Raw genomic sequence first — 21,932 nt, forward strand, 5'->3', positions numbered from 1 at the left:
ACCTTGAGATTTATCAATTTAAAGTGTACCGTGGGCCGGGCGCGGTGGCTCACACCTGTAATCCCAGCACTTTGGGAGGCCGAGGCGGGCAGATCACAAGGTCAGGAGATCGAGACCAAACTGGCTAACATGGTGAAACCCCGTCTCTACTAAAAATACAAAAAATTTGCCGGGCACGGTGGCGGGAGCCTGTAGTCCCAGCTACTCGTGAGGCTGAGGCAGGAGAATGGCGTGAACCCGGGAGGCGGAGCTTGCAGTGAGCCGAGATAGTGCCACTGCAGTCTGGCCTGGGCGAAAGAGCGAGACTCCGTCTTAAAATAAAATAAAATAAAATAAATAAAATAAAATAAATAAAATAAAATAAAATAAATAAAATAAAATAAAATAATAAAATAAAATAAAATAGTGTACCATGGCTGGGTGCAGTGGCTCACGCCTGTAATCCCAACGCTTTGGGAGGTCAAGGCGGATGGATCACTTGAGATCAGGAGTTTGAGACCAGCCTGGCCAATATGGAGAAACCCCATCTCTACTAAAAACACAAAAATTAGCCGGGCGTGGTGGCGCACGCCTGTAATCCCAGCTACTTGGGAGGCTGAGGCAGAAGAATTGCTTGAACCTGGGAGATGGAGGTTACAGTGAGCCAAGATCGTGTCCCTGCACTTCAGCCTGGGAGACAGAGCAAGACTCCATCCCCCCAAAATAAAAAAAAGAAAAGAAAAAAAGTATACTGGAATACAGGATTAACACGTGGAATGAAAGAAACTGAATCTCGTTTTTTTGTCCAGTTGAGGTGACTGGAGAGTCTTCCATTTGCAGATGAGCTGTGTGCCGGACCCATGAGTGTGGAGCCGGCAGTCACTGCCCCACGAGTCCCGCATGTCACAGCTTCTTAAACAGATGGTCAAGAGCTTACATGCGGTTCCTTATCCCAACCCGCCGCGGCCCGATGCGCCCTGGCTTTTTCTGGAACTGTTGTTCTGTGGATCCTCGCCGAGAACGCCCAGTTCTCCTTGCTGCTCAGTCATGGAGTCTCTCTGGGGACCCCGCTGCCGCGCTGGTCCTTCTGCAGAGGCCGCCTCCCTGCAGCGCTGTCTTGGTCAGGCTCCCAGCAGGAAAAGACGACACCCGAATGAAGATCATCTAAGGAGGCTTCAGTGAAGGGACCATTTACCACGGATGAGACAGCAGGGCGTGCGGGCGGCACGAGGGGCCGCTGTAGCATCTGGAGCTGCTAACAGTGGAGCTGTCACTCCCATGTCACACTCCCAGGCCAGAAGAGACCAGGGGAGGGGACTCAGCCCAGACACTGGGAGTGGCACCAGGGGGCTGCCTTGAGAGGCGAGTGCCAGAGAGAGTCAGGGACTCCCCAGGGGCCATCCCAGAGGGCACTGAGGAGGTTCACTGGGTCTGGGACCCGGAGGAGGCGGGGAAGGAGAGTGGGTCTGAAGGGTAAGGGGTCGATGTGGGTGCAATTGCCCTTTCTGATTCCGCTCTCCCGGTTTTCTGTCCCTCTCTGGCCGCCCCTGTCCTGTCTCTAGTTGAGGTCTTTCTTGGCCAGTGCCTGCCTCCCTGGCGCCTGTGGTTTCAGTGATGGGGATTCTTCCATGCGTCACTTGGAGCGACCTCGTCTGTTCCTGTGGACTCACTGACACACTAAAGACACCAGCTCAGCCCTGACCTCTCACCTGAGCGCCTCCTTACCAAGTCATCCAGATGGCTCCCCAGGGATGAGCAGCAACAAAACGGGCACGTGGGTGCCCAGCACACGTCAGGTGATGTTCTAAGCCCCTTGCGCGTACCCAGTCACTTACCGTTCACTGCAGCCCCGGGATGAGCTCTGCGATGAGCATCCTTTTGCAGACGAGGACACTGAAGCACAGGAAAGTTAGGTCATTTGCCTAAGGACATGCAGCTGGATGGGGACAGAGCCAGGATCGGGCTTGCAGTGGCTTCAGACCCCACCTTTCTGACCACAGCGCTCGTGCTCTTGGAGCGCCTTGAGATAGTGGGACAAGGCGGACTGGAGGACGCAGTTTCCAGATGGGATGCCCTGGCGGGCGACTCCCGTGCGCATGCCCAGCATCCTGCGCAGGCGCTCTCGTGGCCAGGCCTCTGCAAACAGTCAGCACAGACCGGGAGACAGAAAACTACACTCCCTCAGACGCTTTATTGTTTACAAAACAGATGGATCCCATAGGGAAGGAACACAATCATTATGCTGACAGCAGCGAACAGAGAGGGGAAGAAAAAAGGTGAGCTTTAAAGTAATCGCAAATCACTGCCTATGCGAAGAGGCTGCTTCCGGGCACCTGGGCTGTGACTCAGGTGCTGACATGAATACATCAGCAAGGTCTCAATTCAGCCACAGTCCCAAGTCCCCCAACCTTCCTGATTGCATCTCTATTTTAAATGACCCAGCCTGGACATCAAGGACAATGATCTAGGAGGCGGGTCAAGGAGACAGCCAGGCAAAGTCAGAACAGACTTGGGGCTTCCAGGCTATGCCCGGTGACAGCTGAGCTCTTCAGAAATGCGTCACATTCAGCGTTCACTTCCTTCGCTTCCTCCACTACCTATGACATAGCGGGGGAAAGAGACAACCATGAGAGAGGGGTCCCTCCTCGCTGCCCTCCTCGCAGCTGTGCTTGAGTTTCAAAGGGGGAGAGGTTTGTGAGGGACCGGCACAGGGACAGCCAGAGCCGGCACCCTCCGGCCCACCGTGGCACCCCTGACGATCGCGGGGTGGGGTAGGAGTGAGGGTGGGGGTCGGGGTGAGGTAGTGCTGTGGGGAGGGCACTGTGAATGATGGAAACGTCCCTTCTCAGCCTGGGTCGTGCCTAACCTGGGTCTCAAATCCCACTCTGCCTTCACCCTGGAGTACACTCCAGCGAAGCCGAGGCCCAGCCAACGCTCGTGAAGTTTCCACAGAGAAGAGCCTGCAAAACTCCCACTGGAAGAGGAGAAATAAAGGCCATGGAAAGAAACCCCAGGGAAGAGACAGGCCTCGTTCACAGACCCTAGGCAGGGAATAAAAAATTCAAGTCATTCACAGAAGTCTTGAAAGGCATGAGGATTTCTGACAGTTCCTAGAAAAAGGCAACATTTTCTTTATCTTTGTATCCATTGGCCAAGAACGCCGACATGTGAGACTTGCTTCACCAGCCGCCACCGCTTCCTTACAATCTCCCGCACTGCTGGAGCGGGCTGGGTAACTACAGGACTGTGCTCTGTGTGATAAGATTTGGTGATTCCACTTTATAAGAAAGGAAACTGCTTTAATTAAAGCAGGTTAATAATTAAAACTTCAAAGTACTGCACAGCCACAGAATTTTCTTGAAGGGAGAAAGCGGTCACTGGCCATATGATGCGGAGATGGTTTTATCTGAGGCCTGAGAACCAACAGATGTGCCTGCGCCCTGGCCTGTGCAGCTGTGGGCAGATGTGTCCCCAGGGGCCTGCCCTCACTCGTGACCATGCAATACCCTGCAACATAAACATTTTCTTTTCCAAGGATCTGCAGGGGTGGACATGATGCTCCAGGCACAGAGTAGGAAGAAAAGGGGGTGACCTGGGGTTCCCAGCAAACAGGTCCACCTCATGCTCACTGCGTTCTCAGGGTGAGGCATAGGGCCTGACATATGGTAGGAGCTCTAGGGATATTCACTGAACAAAAGAACATAGGAAAGAAAAGAAACGAGGTCGGATGGAAGAAACGACCCAGCCAGTTAGGCAGGCCTTGAGTCAATGCCTGAAGTGACCGAAATCACCACCAGATGGCAGCATGGAAAGCAGTTCAGACCGCGGCCTCCGTGGGGCCCGGGGGTCCAGTGCCCGCACCACTATGGGGCCCGGGACTGGGCTCCCTGTCCAGACCTCCAACCCAGGCACAGTTCCAAAAAGAACAAAACAAAACAAAAGTGCACTCCTCTTGTTTTTATAAAAGCTGAGTCCTGATGGCCTTGCTCAGTGTTTCCGTTTTGAGTTAAATGAACTCGATGCCTTCGTATTTCACGCTTCCGATCTTGGTCTCCGGCAACAGGAAGCGCCCGTCCAGCGTGAAGGCCATGATGTAGGAGGCGACTCTGCCGCTGTCCTCCTCGGATTTGAGGGCCACAATGATCTGGTCGTCGGTGTTGGGGATGAACTTGAAGGACGAGAAGCCGTGAGTGGGGACCACCGCCCCGACGTGGCTCACAGCGATGTCGCCGAAGTCAGGGGAGGCGCTCAGCAGCAGGTTGGCGCCCTTGCGCTCGTCGTCCTTCTCGCTGTAGCGCTCCTGGCTGGCGCGGCGCGGCAGGAAGAACCAGCGCTGCAGCGTGTCACTCCAGCAGGCAGACTCATGGATGAGGTAGCCTGGGAACCGGGTGACCGCGGGTCAGACACGCATGCGGCCTGGTGTGCCCAGCCCCACACCATCAGGCCGTGCGCAGTAGCAGGCAAGGGGCTGCGACCACCAGGGCCCACCAGCTCACAGCAACCCGCCCCTCCCTGCTCTCCAGGATTCTGGAAGGTTCTGTGTTCTCGGTTATCCCATGCAGGGAACCTGCAGCACCCGCTCCCTTGAAGCCTCCTCCCGTTCCACCGAGAGCTGCCTGTGAGCTGCATCAGGGATTTGGGCTCATCGGAGCCTCCTCGGGGCTGATCCAGAGGAACCCAAGGAAAGGGAACAAACCCCCATTGGATGTGGGGAGGCATCGGCGGGGAGGCTGCCTTGAGGCTGCAAGGAAGAGGAGACAGCGTCTGGGGCCCCAGGCACAGACTCAGTCACTTCCTCCTGAACCTCAGGCACCTAAGGCCTACTCCATCCTGACTAGGGGGAGGCCAAAGTGCTGCTGGCCCTATGTTGGTGTGGAACACCACGGCCCAGCGCCAGGGGTAGGGACAGGGCCTGACCCACCAGTGCAGACAACCGGGCCACAGGCTGGGATGCTAGGAGGCCAGCTGCCAGGGCGAGTGGGGCAGGAAAGAGAAAACAGCTCATTTGCCGCCAGAATCCACTGGCCTGAGGGAAGCCACCATCAGAGGCAACCAAAATCACTAAAATCAAGCAAGAAACGGCCTTGGAGGCTGGGTGTGGTGGCTCGCGCCCGTAATGCCAGCACTTTGGGAGGCCGAGGCAGGTGGATCACCAGATCACCCGAAGTCAGGAGTTCGAGACCATCCTGGGCAACATGGTGAAACCCTGTCTCCACTAAAAATACAATTAGCTGGGCGTGGTGGTGCACACCTGTAGTCCCAGCTACTGGGGAGGCTGAGGCAGAAAAATCGTTTGAACCCAGGAGGTGGAGGTTGCAGTGAGCTGAGATCGTGCCACTGCACTCTAACCGGGGTGACAGAGCAAGACTATGTCTAAAATAAAAAACGGTTTTGGAGGCAAATGCAGGAGGAAGCAGGTTCCCAGCGACTGGGCTGTGGAAGCCACACTGTGGGCTGGGGCAGGCGTCTCTTACCTGGCGGCTGGATGCCGGCAGCAGCCCGCAGGGCGTTGTAGTTGGACACCCAGTTCTCGTGGTCCACGCTGCCCTTGTAGCCCACCACCTTCACCCACTCCGGGTTCTCGTTCACCACATCACCCGTAGTGGTCGTCCACTCCTTGCCCAGGCCGCCCACGTACAGACGCTCGTCCTTCACTGCCAGCCATTCGGCCTTGAAGCCTGGCCAAGCAGAGTGTCCTTAGGCCCCGCACCCAGCTCCCGCCGCACCCCTGCACCTGGCTCCCACCCGGCCCCGCACCTGTCCTTAGACCCCGCACCTGACTCCCGCCCGGCTCCACACCTGCCTCCCCTCCGGCCCGCACCTGGCTCCCGCCCAGGGCCGGCCGGCTGCCCTCCCCTCAGCTCCTGAAGGTTCAGTGACCACTCTCAAGTCTCCTCTGATCCCCAACTCCCCGCTCCTCAAGCTGTAACCCCAACCTTAGGATTATCCTTAAAGGCTAGAAAAGCTGAAAAGTGACAGCACTCTGAAGGGGCACGTGTGTCCCAGGGGAGTGCGGGTGCTGCCCTCGGCCACACCTGAGGTCTCACCGAGCATCACTCTAACTCCAGTGGCCGGAGAGGGGCTTGGTGCTGGGGCTCCCAGTCTTCCTTTCAATGGATTTGTTCAGAAGCTGTTTTTGCTTTTTTTAAACTGATTTATTTAAAATAAGCCTAACTTTGAAGGCTGCCACAGTTCAGGCTGTGTGGGAGCCTGTGTTCTACCGTGTATTCTTATCATCCCTACACCCTGGTGTTCTAACTTCTGTTTGCTTTCCCCAAATTTTGCCAGCTTCTTGCCCCTGAGAGCTGGAGCTGTGCCCTCTGAACTGCCCGAGACTGTAGTAGCTTCTCTGCAGGGCCCTGGAGGGACCTGCGGTCTCCTGGTCTGCTTGTGCGATGAGACATTCTCCATGCCAGGGTCTTCCATCCCTCCCGGATGACCTGAGTACAGCCCAACCCCAGAGCTCCCTGTACCCCGCTTTCCTCCCTATCCAAGGGAAGGACAGAACTACACTAGGGTTGCCTAAAACCCTGACAAGTGCGAGGCAGGAAGTAGGCGACCAACGCCTCAGTTGATACCTCAGGTGAGGTCCGTCCCCTGCCCAGCCCTGGGCAAACACTGAAGATTTTATCACCGGGTGTGGGGAGGGCCTGGCCGGCCATGAACTGTGTGGGCCGTTGTTTAGTGCAGTTCCTCCTTGACCTCAGAAAGCCTGCGGTGGCATTTAGCTTTCTAGAAGGTGGGGATCCACCGCCAGCTCAGACAAACGGAGCTCAGAGGAGCTGGCAGCTCCTCTGCCAGCGTCCTTGGCACCTCCCCAGCTCCTCTCTGGAGGAAGACACTGGCCACCGTGCCTCCCCAAAGCCTGTCCCTGCCCTGTGGAAGCAGCACCTCCTTTCTGGTGAACAAAAAGGCTGGCATCAGGCTCCACTCCAGGGGGGTTGGCACAGCTCACACATGCCCTCCCCCTGCTGGGGTTCAGGGAGAGGAGGGCTGGGCAGCAGTTTACCCTTCAGTAACATGAAACCAAAGTCTGGGTTTTGAGTGAGAACCATCTGTCCCCATGGCTTTCAGGGCAAGGCTCCTGGTAGGCACATCCTAGCGTGGTCTTGAGAACCTTTGAAGGTGTAAAAAGGGCGTGTTCCCAGAGGCTCCGAGAGCAGCAGCGGATACAGCCGAAAACATCTTGGAGAGATTCCCCACGTCTCCCACAGGCCTCTAGCGATAAGCTCTTCCTCCTAGAAACTGCTCAGTGTGAAGTGACAGTAGGCTATGCTCCTGGCTAAGGGTAAGGGGGCCGCAGGTCAGAGCAAGAGGGAGACGTGCTCCCTCACCACATCCCTGGCTTCTAGGTGTGTGAATTCTTTACCATGTGCCTGTGTTTGCCAGCCAGGCCCTGAGCTCCCACTCCCCACCCACACCTCCATAAAACCTCAGGGTCCAGTTACCTTTCTCCACGGTGCCGTCGCCGTCGGACAGAATCACCCAGGGCACGGCTTTGCTGCCTTCGATCTGGTAGACGACCCCCGTCCGGTCATCCACGGAGTAGAGTTTCCCATTGAAAACAATCAGGTCGGATAGCTCCATGCCTCTCCCCTTCTCCGCCAGGTGGGACTCCAGGACCCCATGGTCTTTGTCCCATTCCACGGCCACCTTGTCCCCACTGTCTGACAGGGTCAGGTAGCCCTTTTTCAGGTAACTGAACCAGGTGTTTTCCTCTTGGGCCCTTGACTCTGTGTCCAGGTCTGCGATAACTGCGATTCGATACCGAATCCCAGCCGGTGTCCTTTGTGGGGGAGACAGGGGGTAGGTGTCATTGTACCAGTTGGCGGGCGCCTGGCCGAGCCTCCAGTTGTGTGCATTGTGGGTGGGGGGCCTGCCGGGGGCCGGGCGGTGGGAGCAGAGCAGCCAGAGGATGGCAGCACCCACAAAGAACGTCAGGATCACCTTCCAGCGGGGGCGGAAGCGGGGGTCCGCGGCCTTGGTCATGGACGCCAGCACAGGAAGGCCCCCCACACTGATCCGGAGGGAGTGCATAGACTCATTCCATTCCGGGTGCTCAGACAGCTGCACGGGCATCAGCGTGACAGACAGGCGGGACCTGCACAGCCAGGGAGGGAGGAGAGGAGTCAGCGCCTCCGCAAGCCCAGTCACATCTTAGTTCCGGAAGCTGCAGGCGCTGGAGGCTGACTTTTCCAGAAGAAACAGTATTTCACTACTCTGTGGCCATTCTTACTCCCTTGGCTTAATGAATTCCCGACTCTAGATTCCCGACTCTAGCAGTATCTTTGCTTACTTTCATTCGGCAAGACGTGAAGTCTTTCCACAGCAAAATTACTCCATCTCCCCTGTCCCAGCTGGCAACGTGGGAAGCTGAGTGAGGAAGGAAGTTCCATGCAGGCTGGTGCTCTGTGGTCCCTCTAAAGAGAGAAGCGCAGGAGAGTCAGGTGGGAGGGGAAGGCTGACGGGGTGAAGTGGGATAGGATCATAGACAGGGTACAGGTCTGTATTTTACTCAAATGCCACCTCATCCAGGAAGCCCTCCCTGACTGCCCTGCTGCAGACATCACCCTCCGTCCCTGGGTCCTTGGCCCTTGTCCCCACCTGACGTTAGAGTATTGTATACAGTTATCGGTTTGTTTGTTTCTGTCTCCACCTCTGTATCCTGGCTCCTAGAACAGTGCCTGGCCTGGAGCAGACAGATGTGCAGTAAAGGAGTCTCCACTTCCTCTGGGTTAGGCTCCTGCAGCATTGGAATACCAAACACATCCAAACCAAATAAAAACACTCCTTCTTTTTCGTATCTGTTGTTGTTTTTGGCAGTGTCTGTCCCCTGGCGCCTTTCTATTAATGCAAATGACTGCAGGGACCAGAGTCTGCGCTGCCCTGACTGCCTGGAGGCCAGCGTGTCTGTGCCTTGGCGCCAAAGAACTGCTCGGCTCACTGCGGGGCCTGGCTCGGCCGCAGGCCTCTCCCAGCTCACCCTCCACCCCAGGCGTGGCTCTGTGGCAGAGCCCCAGGGTCAGGGTGCTGGTGGCGGCCAGGAACTGCAGCCCTTCACTGCTGTCGCCAAGCCCACTTCCCGGGCATACAGCATGATGGCTCAGTGCAGCCATGGGGCACCAGGCCCACGTCTGCGCCGCCTTGGTGAGAGCTGCCTGTCTCTGGACAGCCGCCAAGTGCCACAGTGGGGCGTGGGGAGACAGCTCCCGGTGCTTCGATCGAGAACACTGGCCCTGGGCAGAGGTTCCATATCTCTGCCCTCCAACTATAGCTCAGTGAATCCCGGCCTGAGAAGCTTCCCTGGCTGGGTCCTCCTTGAGAAAACAACAAAGCAGCAAACATGTGCCTTTATGGGCAGACGCTGTCCTCCCTGCCAGGGCGCCTGGGAAGGGCTTGGGGACTCCAGTGGCTCCGTGCAATTCTGGGCCCCAAATATGTGGACCACGAGGCCCTGGTGCACGGCAGCCAGCAACAGACACCCCCACCAGAGACACCCCCTTCTCCACGCCGCAGCCTGCTGGGCTGAGAAGATACAAAAACAGGGTGACAATTCCACATGGAACTTTCGGACAGTCCTAGGTTTTAGCCCCAGGGTGAGGTTCAAGGAGTGAACAAGGCACATACGTGGAACCTGCTGCTCAGAGTGATCCTCCTAACAGCACAGGGGGGCTGCCAGCAGTTCCTCCAGGCCCGCAGGGAAGACTCCATGCTCCCTTTAAGGGGCAGGCCTCTCAGGACCCCCTGAGGTGGTCACAGGGCTGATCACCGGGGCCTTCCCGGCAGCAGGGCTGGGGTTCCCCGTGCTGGACATCCTCCTCTGACTGCATCCAGGCCCTGCCCCTTTTCTAGTCCCAAGGCCTCAAAACCCCAGCCAGGCCCAAGAAGTCTCCACTGAGCTCGAATTACTCTATCTTACCTGCTATGCCAATCCCGCCTACATTTCTTTTTTTGTTTTTCTGAGATAGGGCCTCGCTCTGTTGCCCAGGCAACAGTGATCACGCTCACTGCAGCCTCAACCTCTGAGGCTCAAGCGATCCTCCCACCTCAGCCTCCCAAGTAGCTGGGACTACAGGCGTGTGCCACCACGCACAGCGAATTTTTTTTTTTTTTTTTTTTTTTTTTTGGAGACAGAGTTTTCCTCTTATTGCCTAGGCTGGAGTGCAATGGCACGATCTCGGCTCACTGCAACCTCCGCCTCCTGGGTTCAAGTGATTCTCCTGCCTCAGATTCCCTAGTAGCTGGGATTACAGGCATGCACCACCACGCCCGTCTAATTTTGTATTTTTAGTAGAGATGCAGTTTCTCCATGTTGGTCAGGCTGGTCTTGAACTCCTGACCTCAGGTGATCCACCTGCCTTGGCCTCCCAAAGTGCCAGGATTACAGGTGTGAGCCAACACACCTGGGGCACAGCTAATTTTTAATTTTTTTTATAGAGATGAGGCCTCGTTATATTGTCCAGGCCAGTCTTGAACTCCTGGGCTCAAGTGATCCTCCTGCCTCAGCCTCCCAAAGTGCTGGGATCACAGGTGCGAGCACCCGCACCCCCCCTTACCTGCATTTCTGACATGCGTCTTAGACATTTCAAGACACGAGTCCTGTGCAGCTTTTCCCTCAAGCCTACTTGCTCCTCGTCTCCCCTTGGGAAGGGTAGTGGTGACGGGTGGCCACCGTGTCCACAGTGGTCTGGTTCAAGCTCTCTCAGGATCCTGGGAGATGTGCTTTTCTGTGTGAATATACACTTCGATAAAAACATAAGGCACTGCCACCACGAAAAACCTGACTGGCCTCATCCTCCGTCTTCCTTCCTCAGCATTGACTCCGTGGACAGGTTCTGTCCTCTTCCATGGCCCTTCCTCACCATGCCATGCCGGCTGCCTCCCTCCACCCCTCCTGCCTCTCCGCCCCTGACACTCCCATACCCCCCGCCATGAAGTTGCCCTGCCAGCTGCCCCCCACCAACATCCCCTGACACTCCCTCGCCACCTGCCATGAAGTAGCATCCATCAGATGGCACACTCCCAGCTTCAGCGGCTTCCTCAGGTCCTGGGGTGAACCCACTCTGCTCCCGCTCAGCCCTCACACTGTACCATCTCCTCTGCCTGCCGGCTGGCTACATAGACCTCCTTCTGTCCCCTGACCACACTGGCCCTGGCAGAGCCTGCAGTTCCCCCTGCCTGGAACAGTCGGGCCTGCTCTTCGCACCAGCAGCTCGGTCTCTCCTACGGGGCATCAGCTCCCTGGGAAGACTTGCCCACTCGCCCTCCCTCCCATGCCGCTCCGGCTCTCCCACCGTCCCTGCCTGGCTAGGTGATTATTTCTGCTCCTGGGGCAGGGATCTGGCCACTGTCACAGCCCCAGCACCTGACGCACTGCCAGGCAGGGAGCAGACAGTCTGCACGCATTGGCTGAAGGGAAAGAGATGCCAGGTGAGCCATTAGCCACTTCTTCAACAGCCCCTCTGCACTCTACCGGGGGCCCCACCTTAGGCATATTATGAACCCACAACCTGGATCAAGCACCCCAAAGATCGAGCTGCTCAGCTGCCACATCTGAGCTGCAGGCCCGGGAAGACGGTGCTTGCCAGCACAGAACAACGGTGCCTGCATAGACTGCTGTCAGACATCGTGAGGTGTCGTCGTCACCAGCCCCTGGAACCCCCATGTTCTTCCCTGTTCAACTCCCTCAGCACTCCGGAGAGCCACTGTCCTCACCTTCACCATTCCTGTCAAATCTCCGGCCCACTTCTCCCAGGAGACCACTCTGTGGCCAACTTCAGCAGCCGAGGCCCCTGGGTGGGGCTCACACCTGCCACTCAGGTCAGTCCCCCCAGCCGCCGGGCACCTGCTCTTCTGGTTCCTCCCTTCCATCCACAGGCTGCCCCAAGTCGCCCACCTTGTCACCATTTTACCTCCAGACCCCACACTCCCACAGACACTCAACTGCTGCTGAATAAATGGCGAATCTGTTAATGAAGGAAAACCCTTCCCTGAGTCCCCGGCACCTCTGTCCCTTCCCACCCCCGCCCAGGCCCCCTCGCCCACCATGGTACAAGAGCACCCACACCTACACCCTCTCCTTCCCTCTGGCTAATCCTCAGAAGCAGCCACCTGAAGCCTTCACCAGTGGCAAACCCAGTGAGCACATTGTCAGTGTCCCTCCTCGAGGCAGGGGGGCACTCTCTGTGGGCCTCCTCCCAGGCAGGTCTTCTCGGCCCCCACTGCTGGCAGCCCACTGACCTCTCCCAGGGCCTGCCCTCTAAGGTGAAGACCCCCACGCCTTTCTAGCCTGACCTAGTCTCTGAGCCTCCTCATCCGATACCCACAGGCACCGCAAACCAGGTCCTCCTCAGGAACTCCCTGTCCTGGCAGTGCCGGCCCTCAGGAGCCATCCCAGGAAGCAATTCGTCCTAACCCTCCTCCCTCCCCAGCCCCACGTGTCCCACCCAGCTTGAGACTCGCTTCCCTTCTCCCCATCCACACAGCCTCGGCTCCAGTTCCATCTCACCCTGATGACTCTCAGAGTCTTGGTCTAATGATCTAGACCAAGCTTGTCCAACATGTGGTCCAACACAAATTCGTAAACTTTCTTAAAACATGATGAGATGAGATTTTTTGTTAAGCTCATCAGCTATCAATGGATTTTATGTGTGGCCCAAGACAATTCTTCTTCCAATGTGGCCCAGGGAAGCCAAAAGATTGGACACCCCTGATATAGACCATCTGGGCTCAGCCAAGGGACTTCCCTTGGCCTCAGTTTACTTCCCGGAGCCATGCTGATGGGGTTAGAGAACTGTGCACAGGGGCTGACTGCTACTGCTTCTCACTCACTCTACAAGTACCCTCTCGCCTGCTGGGAGGGTTGCAAACTACCACCCGTGGGCCAAATGCAGTCTCCCGCCTAGTGTGTAGATGCGGCCTGTGTGGCCTGGTATGTGGTTGCAGCTTGGTGTGTAGACTCTGCCTGGTGTGTAGACGCGGCCTGCGTAGACGCGGCCTGCTGTGTAGTCACGTCCTGGTGTGTAGATGTGGCTGATTAAAGCCAGCTAGGACTCCTCCCTGGCATGCTGAGTCTGGCTGCACCGTTGAGTGGTCGCAACAGACTGTGGAGGCTGAAAATACTGACTCCCTGTCCCTCGACAGATCCCTGGTCAAGACCATCTCAAATCACCCTCCACAAAACTGACAGAATAATTTTTCCAAAAAGCAAGTCTGGATTCCAAGTCTAGTAGATCCCAATGCCTTCCATCTGAAGGACAAACGTCTCAGCCTGCAGAGAAAGCCTCAGTGGGTTTTTCCCCCTGCACTCCCAGGAGCAGGACCTCTCCCAGGTCGCTGTGCAACACTGCACGCCTTCCTATTCCAGACTCCTGGCATCTACACCGTGGCACACGCTCCCCACCCGGGAGGCTCATGTCCTCTGACCACATGGAACCAGAGGTGTCTGAGTCCCGGCGTCTCTGCCCCTCTGGGGAATCAGTGTGACGGAGGCAGGGGCCTTTCCTCCAGGAGCTCAGCACAGTTGGGGAGACAGACTTTGAACAGTCCCGTGTGGTCAGTGTTACCTCGAGGTCACGCTGATTCCCCAGAGCTAACAGAGGGGCAGAGACGCCAGGGCCTCAGCCACCTTTGGTTAAACAAGGGACTGCTTCTAGTGACAAGAGAACTCTGTGTACCTTCCAGAAAATTCCTTTAACTTCAGCACCAGAACACCTTCCCTTGGGCTTCATCTCTCCTTCAGGACCCCAAGGAATTATTTTATTTTGCAAAAAAATTTCAAATCAGATGCCTTTGCCACAGCCCATGCTGGTGTATGAGCTACCACTGGCTGCCGGGGTGCCTGGCTGCCGGCGCCTGCTGCAGGCAAGAGTTTGCATGTTCTTTAAAAAGCTGGGTTCTTTTTCGGGGGTGGGGGGTGGGGGGGCTCTTTTGTTTGTTGCCAGCCAGAAACAACAGAAATGAACCGGCGAGGGTAAGACACAAGATGGACAAAGTCCTTTCCAGAAGGGGCTCGTGTGAGGCTTCTCCCTACACCCCTCAAAGCTTAAGCAGTTTAAATGCTCGCTTTATTGTGAAAAGATTGACAAACCCAGTGCCTGCAGAGTAATGGTTTGATTTTAGATAATCAGCAACAAGAGGACTCAGGGACTACAGCAAAGTCATGGGTTCTGTGGCCAGCCAGGCTCTCCTGTTCAGTGGGGCTGCAAACCAGCTATCTCCCAGACTCAGGGGCCTACAGGGACAGGACCCCTGCTGCTGCCTGGAGAGCACTCACAGGAGCACTCACAGGAGGAATAACCACCTGCAAGGCTTGCAAGGCACCACGGAGGCATCTGTCCATCCCACAGGACACTCCCAGAGCGCAGGGGAGCCACCAGTGAGGGAGCTGGGAGTTAGGGAGCGGGGAGTTAGGGAGTAGGGAGTTGGGGGGGAGTTAGGGAGGGGGGAATTGGGGAGGGGAGTTAGGAAGAGGGGAGTTAGGGAGAGGGGAGTTAGTGAGTGGGGAGTTAGGGAGGGGGAGTTAGGGAGAGGGGAGTTAGGGAGGGGAGTTAGGGAGGGGAGTTAGGGAGAGGGGAGTTAGGGAGAGGAGTTGGGGGGGAGTTAGGGAGGGGTGTTAGGGAGAGGGGGGTTAGGGAGAGGGGAGTTAGGGAGAGGGAGGTTAGGGAGGGGAGTTAGGGAGAGGAGAGTTAGGGAGAGGGGAGCTAGGGAGAGGACAGTTAGGGAGAGGAGTTAGGGAGGGGGGAGTTAGGGAGGGGAGTTAGGGAGAGGGGAGTTAGGGAGAGGGAGGTTAGGGAGGGGAGTTAGGGAGAGGGGGGTTAGGGAGAGGGGGGTTAGGGAGAAGGGAGTTAGGGAGGGGAGTTAGGGAGAGGGGAGTTAGGGAGGGGGGAGTTAGGGAGAGGAGTTAAGGAGAGGGGAGTTAGGGAGGGGAGTTAGGGAGAGGGGAGTTAGGGAGGGGGGAGTTAGGGAGAGGGGGGTTAGGGAGAAGGGAGTTAGGGAGGGGAGTTAGGGAGAGGGGAGTTAGGGAGGGGGGAGTTAGGGAGAGGAGTTAAGGAGAGGGGAGTTAGGGAGGGGAGTTAGGGAGAGGGGAGTTAGGGAGAGGGGAGCTGGGGGGGAGTTATGGAGCAAGGAGTTAGGGAGGGGGGAGTTAGGGAGATGGGAGTTAGGGAGAGGGGGGTTAGGGAGAGGGGAGTTAGGGAGGGGAGTTAGGGAGAAGGGAGTTAGGGAGAGGGGAGCTAGGGAGAGGGGGGTTAGGGAAGGGGGAGTTAGGGAGGGGAGTTAGGGAGGGGAGTTAGGGAGAGGGGATTTAGGGAGGGGGGAGTTAGGGAGAGGAGTTAAGGAGAGGGGAGTTAGGGAGGGGAGTTAGGGAGAGGGGAGCTGGGGGGGAGTTATGGAGCAAGGAGTTAGGGAGGGGGGAGTTAGGGAGATGGGAGTTAGGGAGAGGGGGGTTAGGGAGAGGGGAGTTAGGGAGGGGAGTTAGGGAGAAGGGAGTTAGGGAGAGGGGAGCTAGGGAGAGGGGGGTTAGGGAAGGGGGAGTTAGGGAGGGGAGTTAGGGAGAGGGGGGTTAGGGAGAAGGGAGTTAGGGAGAGGGGATTTAGGGAGGGGGGAGTTAGGGAGAGGAGTTAAGGAGAGGGGAGTTAGGGAAGGGAGTTAGGGAGAGGGGAGTTAGGGAGAAGGGAGTTAGGGAGGGGGGAGTTAGGGAGGTGAGAGTTAAAGAGCGAGGAGTTAGGGAGCGGGGAGTTAGGGAAACTGTGCTTTTCTCTGTGCACACCCAGGAGGCGTCTCCCTGCTGCTGCCCTTTCCCAGGAGAAGGGCTCAGGGGCCACCTACCTCCCGAGGCCATCCCCAGGCCTGCCGCTGCACTCTGAGCAAGGCTATAATGAAGGGAGTGGCGACTCCCTGGACAGCAGACAGCCAAGAGGGTTTGTTTCTCCAGCTTCCTGCAGGAGTGGAATAGGACAGGTGGCAGAACCAGCAGGTTTACTGAGGGCTGCCAGGCTCCTCCCTTTCAGGATCCAGGCAGGGCAGGAAGCCACATCATCCTGTTAAGAGGCCGCCACATCCTAGCCCCCACCTCCTTGGAAGGGACGGGTAGGCAGGTGGCAGGTGCGCCAACCCCTTATCTCTGGAGAAGAGCTACCTTCCTTTCCCTTCCCACACCCAGAGAGCAGGCAGGCAGGCCTCAGAGTGCCCACTGTGTTCACTGCCATGGTAAAGAGCAAACCCCACTGACCTACAGACTCTTCAGCACAGCCAAGGCAGAAGCCAAGGCCTTCACACACTCATGCTAACAGCGCCTGAGAGAACACGGGTGGCGCATCTCAAAGAAACACTTATTAATGCCTGCTATGGGCCAGACTCCTTGAAAACGTTACCTGATTCCTGCTTTGGCACTTGCAAGGCTAACTATTGTACCTGCAAATTCCACGGCAAATCTCCTCGGGGGTGGGCAGTACAAGGAAACCAGAAAGGAAGAAGGTCACAGGGAGTCTGGTTAGGCCATCCTGCCTCCACAGACAGCACGCTCCTTAAAGGTCAAGCTCAGGATCTGACTGACTTCTGCACCTGTCCCCGCCCCTAGTATCCAGCACACGGCAGGCAGCAGGCACCGTCCTGTGGGACAGAAGCCTCACACGGGCCATGGCTCCATTCTCATGCCTCTTCCAGCTTCTGGAGGCACCCACATTCCCTGCCTGGTGGCCCCTCCTCCCCCTCCAAAGCCCGCCCACTGCACTTCCCCAAGGCTCTTGGCCATCATCTCCCTCCGGCTCTTCTGCTTCCCTCTTCTGTTCTTAAGGACCCTGTGATTACACTGGGCTCCCTGGGAAAATCCAGGATCATCTCACTACTTTAAGGCCGGCTGATCAGCAACCTTAATTCCCCTTTGCCATGTAATGTAACATATTCACAGGCTCAGAAGGTAGGACGTGGACATCTCGGGGAGCTGTTCCTCCACCAATCACAGGAGGAAGAGGGGAAAGAGCCTCCAGGTTTTTCCAAGGGCCAGGACCAGTCACTGTCTATGGTGTGGGCGCACAGCTTCAGAACCCTCTACGGTTTGCAGTTACTGCCTTGTAAAGAGGCTGTGTCTGCTTAATTTGTATCATCGATGTTACACCTGGAGGAATTTTAGCCAAAAGGCGACCTTCTCAGTTGAAAGGCACATTCCAAATGGCACCACACATCTGGGAAGGTGTCCTTTTCCAGAGTGTGTGAAAATAACGGGATGGGATCATCGCCCCATGGACCTGGATCAGGGCTGCCTTCCACACCGCGGTGGCACCTGCACGAGCCCACCTGCTTACTGCCACCTTCTCTCCTCACGCTTTCCTCCAGGCTCGGCTCCCGGGACACAAAGGCCGAATCGCCAGGACTTTCACTCAACCCGGCAACACCCTCAGAGCCATTCTGGGGGGTCCCAGTCTCACCTCTGCCCCACTCCCACATGGTGGCATCACGCACTGTCTTAAGTCTTAAGCCAGACTTCAACGCCTTCTTCACTTCCCATAAAACCATCCCAGAGGAACGCGGGGAGCAGCGTCCTGCCTGGGAACCAGGCGCTCCACATGACCACTGCACGCATGACAAAGACGAGCAGGGTCCAAAACAAAAAACAGAACGTCTCCCCAAACAGACTTCTCTACTGCCAGGATGATTTTTTCCTAATTAACCATCTTGATTAAAGTAAAAGGAAAATCAACATGAACATTCTTAAGAATTAATATAAAAGTTTCTAATTCCCTTGATATTGGCATTTCATAAGAGCTTTCCAGGAAATCTCGATAGTTCAGAGTGCACTGAGTGAAAAGAATGAATGCTGTGTGTCCTTGGCATCCCTGGTACCATTCAACAAACAATAGAAAAATGACCTCCTTGTGATAGTACTGACCCATTTCAGGACCTGGACAATAGTTCCAAGTCTCAGATCTTCTGTTTTTGAAAGAGAAAACACTACAGCATTTATACATCTACCTATCTACCTATACGGTTGCCAGAAAGTACCGAGACTCCGAGGACGGGCCATATGTACTTGGGGGAGCCTGCACAGGCACACACACCTCGAAAGCCACATCCAGGTGGCAGGGTAAAAACACCCACAGGGCCAGGAGAACTGCTGCTACCACACCCTGGGTCTCCTCACGTACTCTGCAGCTCAGGGGGGTCCTGCAGACCAGGTGCACAGTGACGGGTGAGTGAAAACGTTCTGGAGTACCAAGAGCTTTTACACCAACACATTTACTAAGCTGCCATGGGCTAGGAAAATATGGTTATAGCCTAAGGGGAAGAAAGGAGACCTCTGGCAATCAGAAGCGTCAAGCCTCAGATGTGCCCCTCCAGCGAGGTGTCCCAGGGTCCAGGGGTCCTATCCCGCTGCGAGTGGAGGGTTCCCTCTACCACCTTGTGACATGTCATTCTCTTTTGTGATCACGTTAATTTGGACATGAAAAAGTGACACTAGAAGTTGGTCCCCACACTGCTGCGGTGGCCTCATGACAGTGCCTGGACAAATCCATGCTTCACCTGAGTCCTGGCCGTGAAGATGCCTGGGGCTGCCCCGACAGGAAACCCTTGCCACGTCCAGAGGGGAGAGGGTTGGCTCCTTCAGTGTGCCTTTCAGCAGGGGCGTGTGCTAGGATAGAGGGCTCATTGAGGCCAGCAGGGAGGAGCACCTGGGAGGAGCCCCACTGCCGTTCCACAGGCTCCAGCCAGACTGTCCTGCTGAGAGGCCTGCGGTGGGGCTGCAGGGAGGGTCTGTGGTCCAGGCCTGGAGGGACCTTTCTCAGCAAAGCTCCTCAGAGGGAGAGGGAGGAAGAGCTGGGAGATAGCGGATCCTGAAGGGCTGCGGCACCCGCTTCCTTTTAGGAGCCTTCTACGACCTGACACTTGTTTCAAGTTTGGGCCCTTACACTGGAGAGCTAGCCGGATTCACTTGACACCAAGAGCCTCACATTTCCAAACCTCTGCTTTGTTGAAAATGTGGTAGGAAAGGCCATAGGGCATACAACCTCAAGAATAAAATAAGAAATGGAGCTGGGACACTAAGAGACGGCTTTTCCAGGGGTCACTAAGGGGGAAAGGTGTTTGGGAGAGAGATGTGTCTGCTGATGGAAGAGTGGTCACAGGTGCTCTGTGCCAAGCCTAGGGTACACAGAGGGCAAGGGAAAGACCATTCGGAGGGAGAAGCAAAGGCACCAGGCAACATGGACTGGCAAGGAGGTACCAGTCTCCAAGGATGAGAGAATCCAGACCGGATGGCAGTAGGGGTGTGAGACAGGTATGGTGGGGAGGGCGAATCATTTGCATGCAGGAAGATGAGAGTGAGCTGTGTGCCTGGAGGAAGGCTCCAAATTGGATGAGGGCAGGGAGAGCAAGGACTGGGATGGGGTGGGGAAGGTTGGCCTGTTACAGGTTTGACCAAGTGCCAGTCAGAGGGAGAAAATTCCCTTATCAGTCCAAGGAGACCCTGCATAGACCAGAGGAGGGGTATTTGAAGTCAGAAGGTGGTGGGAGGGGGTCATTCCCAGGAGGGGTGCCCCACACTAGCCAGAGCGGGGAGGCGTCCCACACTAATCAGAGGGGGATGGTCCCCACACTAACCAGAGGGGGAGGTGCCCCACATGAATCAGAGGGGGGTGGTCCCCACACTAATCAGAGCGGGGAGGTGCCCCACAGTAATCAGAGGGGGATGGTCCCCAAACTAATTAGAAGGGGGGTGTCCCACACTAATCAGAGCGGGGAGGAGTCACATAATCAGAGGGGGGAGGTGCCCACACTAATCAGAGGGGAATGGTCCCCACACTAATTAGAGAGGAGGGGTGCCCACACTAACCAGAGGGTAATGGTCCCCACGCTAGTCCCAGGGATGAGGTGTCCCAAAAGTCAGAGGGGGTGGTGTCCACCGCCTGTCGGAAGAAGGGGACTTTCCCACAGGTCAGAGGGCAGAGTCCCAGCCCAGTCTGCGAGTCAGGGGGCAGAGATCCCGCACGGGTGGGACGGGAAGGGGGCCTGACGGGTCAGGGGGCGGGACGCGGCAGGGTCGGAGGGCGGCGGCAGGCTCCGGGACGGGGGTCCGGGCCCGTGGCTGGGGCAGGGCGCCGGCGGCCGCGGGCGCAGTCACTCACCCGCTGCGGGGCTGGCTCCGGTGCCCGCGATCGGCGGGGCTTGGCTGGGCTTGGCTGGGCTTGGCTGGGCTAACGGCCGGGACGGAGGAAGGTGGCCGACTTCCGCCCCGCGCGCGCTCGCCCCGCCTCTGGGCCCGCGTTCCCGGCAGCCTCTGCTCTGCGGCTGCGCGCGGACGGCGCGAGGGCTGCTGGGAGCTGTGGTTTGTGTTTTTTTGGGTTTTTTTTTTGTTGTTTTTTTGTGTTTTTTTTTTCCGTCCTGCGCCTGCGCGCTGGAGGAGCGGCCGGCTGGCTGCAGGCTGGAGGGGCGCGAGGGTCCGCACTGGCACATGAGGGCCGTCTTCCACCGCGTTGCGCTGGAACGTGGGCCCAGCAGATCTTTTGGGGTGGGAGGCATTGAGGGGGGTGAAGGCTACTAGGGAGGGAAGTTCTCATTCTCCGAGCGAGGGCCCCCTTACATGGGCCTCCCGACCCTCGTAGTCTTGGGAGGCGGAAAACCGTGGGCCCCTTTCTGCCATCCTCATTCTCAGGCAGCCCCTCTCCTTGGCCCTTCAAAACAGCCGCCTCCAGAGTGCTGCTGACCAGTTGCCAAAGCCAGGATCAGGGAGGTCTAAGGCTGTAGTGTCCTGGGGTGGGGACGGTGGGGTGTTTCCCTGCAAAAAATCTGCAGTTGACAAACCTGCCAAACAAGGGTCTCTGATTTCTCCTTTCCCCTCCGTAGCCCTAGCCCCCGAGATATTTTAGGGCACTCTGTTAAAAGGCTTCCCCGGCCCCGCCCTCCTCCATCCCAAAGTTCTGAGAAAGGCCTGGTGGCCGTGGAGCCTCTGGCAGGAGAGCTTGGCAGAAGGGTGCACCAGCCCCCTGCCCATCTGCACCTTCAGCTTTCCTGCTTGATACCAGCTACTTCCCCCAGCTCTCTCAAAACCTTCCGTTCAGTAAAAGATACACAAGAGGAGGAATTCAAATTATATAAATGGTACGCAATGAAAAATAAGCCTCCCATTGCCGTTCTGTATTCCCTGCCCAGAGGCGATCACTAGATGTTATATGGTATCCAAACAAGTCATAAACACGTATCTTAAATTACCTTTAACTAAATAGAAATGTGCTAAACACTGTTATGCACTTTTGGTTTTTGATTTTGGAGAGGAGACAAACCTTTCTTGAATTCATTAATGTTTCTTGTCATGCTAAACTGAGTCCCAACCATGTCTCACATAATACTCATTATTGTCAGGCCTCTGAGCCCAAGCTAAGCCATCATATCCCCTGTGACCTGCACATATACATCCAGATGGCCTGAAGCAACTGAAGAACCACAAAAGATGACATTCCACCATTGTGATCTGTTCCTGCCCCACCCTCACTGATCAATTGACCTTATGACAATACACCCTCCCCACCCTTAGGATAATGTACTTCGTGATATTCCCTCACCCTTAAGAAGGTACTTTGTAATATTTTTCCCACCCTTGAGAATGTACTTTGTGAGATCCACCCCCTGCCCACAAAAAATTGCTCCTAACTCCACCACCTATCCCAAACCTATAAGAACTAATGATAATCCCACTACTCTTTGCTGACTCCTTTCTCGGACTCCGCCCACTTGCACCCAGGTGAAATAAACAGTCTTGTTGCTCACACAAGGCCCGTTGGTGGAATCTCTTCACATGGACGCATGTGACAATTATATTTGAATCTTTTATTTTCTAAAAGATCCACATGTGCCTTCCAGCTTAAGAAATAACACATTATTCCTGCATCTTTAAAACTCTCCAGGTTCTTCCTGTTCTGTACTCCCTGCTACCCCCAAGAGGTGGTAGCCACAATACTGAA

At 56.3% G+C, this 21,932-nt stretch overlaps 1 protein-coding gene across 3 annotated transcripts, besides 2 other annotated features; it reads right to left on the bottom strand.

The window, feature by feature from the left end:
* Positions 2,152 to 20,200, bottom strand: CANT1 (calcium activated nucleotidase 1). Of its 3 annotated transcripts, NM_001159772.2 has the most exons (6): positions 20,100 to 20,200; positions 8,584 to 8,722; positions 8,276 to 8,399; positions 7,428 to 8,080; positions 5,454 to 5,657; positions 2,152 to 4,356 (listed from the first exon to the last, which is right to left on the bottom strand). In NM_001159772.2, the coding sequence occupies exons 4-6, from the start codon at positions 8,056 to 8,058 to the stop codon at positions 3,986 to 3,988; spliced, it is 1,206 nt and encodes a 401-aa protein (NP_001153244.1). In that variant the 5' UTR covers positions 8,059 to 8,080; positions 8,276 to 8,399; positions 8,584 to 8,722; positions 20,100 to 20,200; the 3' UTR covers positions 2,152 to 3,985. The 3 variants fall into 3 exon arrangements, with proteins under 3 accessions (NP_001153244.1, NP_001153245.1, NP_620148.1); NM_001159773.2 differs by lacking the exon at positions 8,584 to 8,722; NM_138793.4 differs by lacking the exon at positions 8,584 to 8,722 and having other exon boundaries at positions 7,428 to 8,399.
* Positions 19,920 to 20,299: a silencer, noted in NCBI's record as "silent region_9077". NCBI's record gives its function as "represses an Ori minimal core promoter by ATAC-STARR-seq in GM12878 lymphoblastoid cells {active_cell/tissue: GM12878}" and the evidence as "EXISTENCE:reporter gene assay evidence [ECO:0000049][PMID:35858748]".
* Positions 20,540 to 20,589: an enhancer, noted in NCBI's record as "active region_12915". NCBI's record gives its function as "activates an Ori minimal core promoter by ATAC-STARR-seq in GM12878 lymphoblastoid cells {active_cell/tissue: GM12878}" and the evidence as "EXISTENCE:reporter gene assay evidence [ECO:0000049][PMID:35858748]".

Source organism: Homo sapiens, chromosome 17 (genome assembly GCF_000001405.40).
Source record: "Homo sapiens chromosome 17, GRCh38.p14 Primary Assembly".
NCBI lineage: Eukaryota > Metazoa > Chordata > Mammalia > Primates > Hominidae > Homo > Homo sapiens.